Genomic DNA, 3,806 nt, shown 5'->3' with positions numbered 1-3,806 from the left:
AGCAGGATGGGAAGGGGCAGGAGGTTTGGGAGCCTTCTTGGACACTTGGACTTTGGTAACAGGAAAGGCTGTTGGAGGCTCCAGTACTGATAACCTCCTAGGCCAGTGTGAGCCGGACAATCTGGGAGCCGGGCAGAGTGGACAATTCTGATGAGGCTGAGGATCCACCAACGTCTGAAAGACGACGCTGTTGGTCCCATTGGCCCCCCGCAGGGACCGGCCCGAGCTGAGCCCCAGAGCAGGAAGGAAATCATCCTGAAAGCCGAAGTTCAGGATGGTCCCCCAGAGCTGGGTCTCCAAACCTCTTTGATCTCATACCATTACTGGTTAAAAATAATCAGAGTTATGCAGCTTCTATATGGGTACATTTTCTTTTTAAATTTTAGGTTTGTTTATCTCCATATTAAACAGTAATAAGATGTAATTACTTTTGTTATTTAAAAACAAACAAACAAACAAACAAACAAAGAGGGGTTTTTCCTAAAGATCAGAGGACTGTCTTGCGTCCCCACTTTGGAAATCATACAGTCCAGAGAGAGACTGTTTTCACAGGACAGGGGGAGAGTGGAGCATGCAGGGAGCGTGTAGCCTGGATTTGCCACCCGCAACTTTGACAAACTGTGTCTCCCCTCTAGGGCTGGATCTCCATCCATTTAAAATTGGAATGAGAGCACCTGTCACTAGCAAACCTCCCATATGGTTTTAGCATAAACACCACTCTACATAAAAAATGCAAAGTATTATAATTATGGGCTGTGGTTGTGTCATTTCCAACAGACTGAAATAGTGGCATTTTTTTTTAACAGCAGCCAAAGGCTTTAGGGCCAGAATGAAAGCTCAGATCTAAACAAAGGAACATCCCCCAGAATGCTATAAACTCACTGCAGTAAAGCCTGTCTACGACTACAGTCAGATCCTCTTCTAAGGGTTTGTGTTAAGGGTGAGAGAATCCTGGACAGGACCAAGAGATGTAATCAGGGCCCCAAGATAAACAGTGTTGCCTTCTTTTCTTTGCCGCCTGTAATAACCAAAAACTTTGTGGTGTTACTATTTGCTAAAAGTAATCATACTATCTACTACCATTTATTGAGCACTCCAGATTCAAAGTACTTTTTTTTTTTTTTTGAGACGGAGTTTTGCTCTTGTTGCCCAGGCTGGAGTACAGTGGTACGATCTTGGCTCACCGAAACCTCTGCCTCCCGGGTTCAAGCAATTCTCCTGACTCAGCCTCCCGAGTAGCTGGGATTACAGGCATGCACCAGCACACTTGGCTAATTTTGTATTTTCAGTAGAGACGGGGTTTCTCCATGTTGGTCAGGCTAGTCTTGAACTCCCGACCTCAGGTGATCTGCCCACCTCAGCCTCCCAAAGTGCTGGGATTACAGGCATGAGCCACCGCACCCAGCCCAGATTTGAAGTATTTTGTGCACATTATCTCATTTAGTTTTCAAAATAATCCAGGAGTAGGGCATTATTATCCCATTTTACATGTGGGGAGCCTGAAACTCAGATACGTTAAATAAGTGGACAAATAACCTGGACACTGAGTGGCAAAGATAAGTCTGCCAGCCCCAACGCCACCTTCGCTACCACACTCTAGTGCGGCTCACACCTTCCTCCCACGTGCCTCCAGTCTCTGGTGAGATGCGCGGCAATGCCCTTCTGTCAGACTGTCATCCTCCCTTCAGGACCCCCTGAGAGATGGAGGCCAGGCGTGTCACCAGCTAGCTGTGCAGAAACCCTGGGTCCAAGAAAGTCACCAGCAGCTCTAAGATGTGCCTTAGAAGAAGGAGTTGAGGCTGGCACAGCCATATTCCTGGCAGCTCAGAGCTTGCAGTTGGAAAGCATTTAGACGTGTCAGATTTGGGACTACTATTTCATTGAGTTCTCAAACTGAGGCCCACAAATGTGATATACTCTGCTTGGGGACTCCCATGGTTGGTTAATGTAAAAAGGCAGACACTGCTATATTTGTTTGAAGTCAGTCTGAAGTTTGAATCTCAGCTCTACCATGCATTCGCTGCACCTTTTTCGGCAAGTGGCTTCCCCTCTCTGAGTCTTGGTTTCCTAATTGGTAAGATAACACCTACCTCATGACTGCTTTGCAGTTCCTTCACTTACTCATTCTGCAAATATTAGGTTCGATCACATGCAATTGCCAATATTCAACCACTTTTTACTGACAGAAACAGCAACTTCATGCAGCTCAACTCTAGTATTCTTGAGGACTTTATTCATCAAAGTTTTCCAGAGAAATGAAATCAGCAGGAGCTCTGTGTGTGTATGTGTGTGTGCGTGTGTGCATGTATGTGTGTGTGTGCATGTGTATGTGTGTGCATGTGTGTCTGTATGTGTGTGTGCATGTGTGTGCGCATGTGTGTGTGCGTGTTTATGTGTACGTGCGTGTGTATGTCTGTGTGCATGTATGTGTGTATGTTTGTGCGTGCGTGTGTGTGTGTGTGTGTGTGAAGTTGGCTCATGTGATCATCAGGGCTGGCAAGTCTGAAGCCTGTAGGGTAGGTCTGAAGGCTGGAAATTCAGGTAAGACTCAATGTTGCAGCCTTGAGTCTGAAGGCGACAGGGCAAGCCAGCAGGTGCACAACTCACGCAGAGTTTCTATGTTGCAGTGTTGAGGCTGCCTCAGTCTTTCCGCAAACTTGAGTCTTTGCTGTGAGGAGGCCGGGGTGGCTGACAGCAGTGAGTAAAGGGGAGAGTATATGAGATGAGTCCAGAAAGGACCTAGGGTGCCCTGCAGATCATTGTTGCCTGGGAAAATGAGGATTAAATCAGAGACACGTGTGTGTAAAGTAATGAGCATGGTATTTGGCAGAAAGTGGCAGCCTTCATTCCTCTTAGTGACCTAAGCCCAGAGCACAGGCTGGTGGATTCTCGTTCAGGCCTCCTTCCTCCCTGCCGCCTGGATCCAAAGTCCTGGACTCCAGTTTTATTCACTTCATCCCCAAGCAGGGATTTGTGGAGCCTGTGGACCATCATGACAGCCTGGAAATCCAACAGTTCCTGCTGCATAAGTGAGAGAGCCAGGATCCACGGAGAGAGGAGTCCAGGGCCACCCTGAGTGGGCCAGACTGAGGAGGGGGTGGGGGCTGATACATGCGGAGCCGCGCCCCCACTGGCATCTCAGCCCTGACCCGCCTGCCCAAGGCTGGGCTGTAGCCTTGTCCAGCTCTGTCCCAGGCTTTGTTCCTGAGTCTTCGAGGCCCCTCTTCCTGCCAAACAAAGCCCCCAGCCTCCGCCTGCCGCCCAACAGGCACCTGGGGCCTCCGGGCCTGGGAATCAAAGCCTGTTTTGCAAAGGAGGCCCTGTGTTTGGAGAAACACCCATCCCCTGCTGCCCAGCCCTTCAAAGAGCCGGCATTGTTCTGCACTGAGAAGGCGCCTCCTGACGCGAGCAGGGGCCGGGCTGACGCGGGTGGACCTCTGATCTCAGGCCAGGCCCCCACGCCACTTGGAGTAGGGCCGGGGGGACCTAGGGGCCAGGGTGGGAGCAGTCTGTCCGGTGGCATTGTGCCCCTTTCCCGTCCTCTGCCCACCTGGGCCTCCATCCATGTGTCCTCACCGAGGCCTGGACCTGGAAACCTGGAGAACCAGGCAGGCCCAGAGGGGCATGAGGAGAAGAACTGAGGTAGAGACAGGGCTTAGTGATCACAGAGGTGTTCAGGGCAAGTATGTTGAAAGACTGTAAAAAAATACCTTCAGCTTACAGATTACAGGACTGAGGCCAGAGGAGAAATGGAACTGGGTCCAGAGCCCAACTCAAGCTGGGGTCAGGCTGAGCCTTGACTTATA

At 50.0% G+C, this 3,806-nt stretch overlaps 1 annotated feature.

The window, feature by feature from the left end:
* Window positions 2,738-3,288: an enhancer, noted in NCBI's record as "H3K27ac-H3K4me1 hESC enhancer chr1:43501886-43502436 (GRCh37/hg19 assembly coordinates)". NCBI's record gives its function as "activates a minimal SCP1, AML or CMV promoter by ChIP-STARR-seq in naive H9 embryonic stem cells {active_cell/tissue: H9 hESC(naive)}" and the evidence as "EXISTENCE:reporter gene assay evidence [ECO:0000049][PMID:30033119]".

This window comes from Homo sapiens, chromosome 1 (assembly GCF_000001405.40).
Source record: "Homo sapiens chromosome 1, GRCh38.p14 Primary Assembly".
NCBI lineage: Eukaryota > Metazoa > Chordata > Mammalia > Primates > Hominidae > Homo > Homo sapiens.
This window is presented reverse-complemented; position numbering and strand designations above follow the sequence as displayed.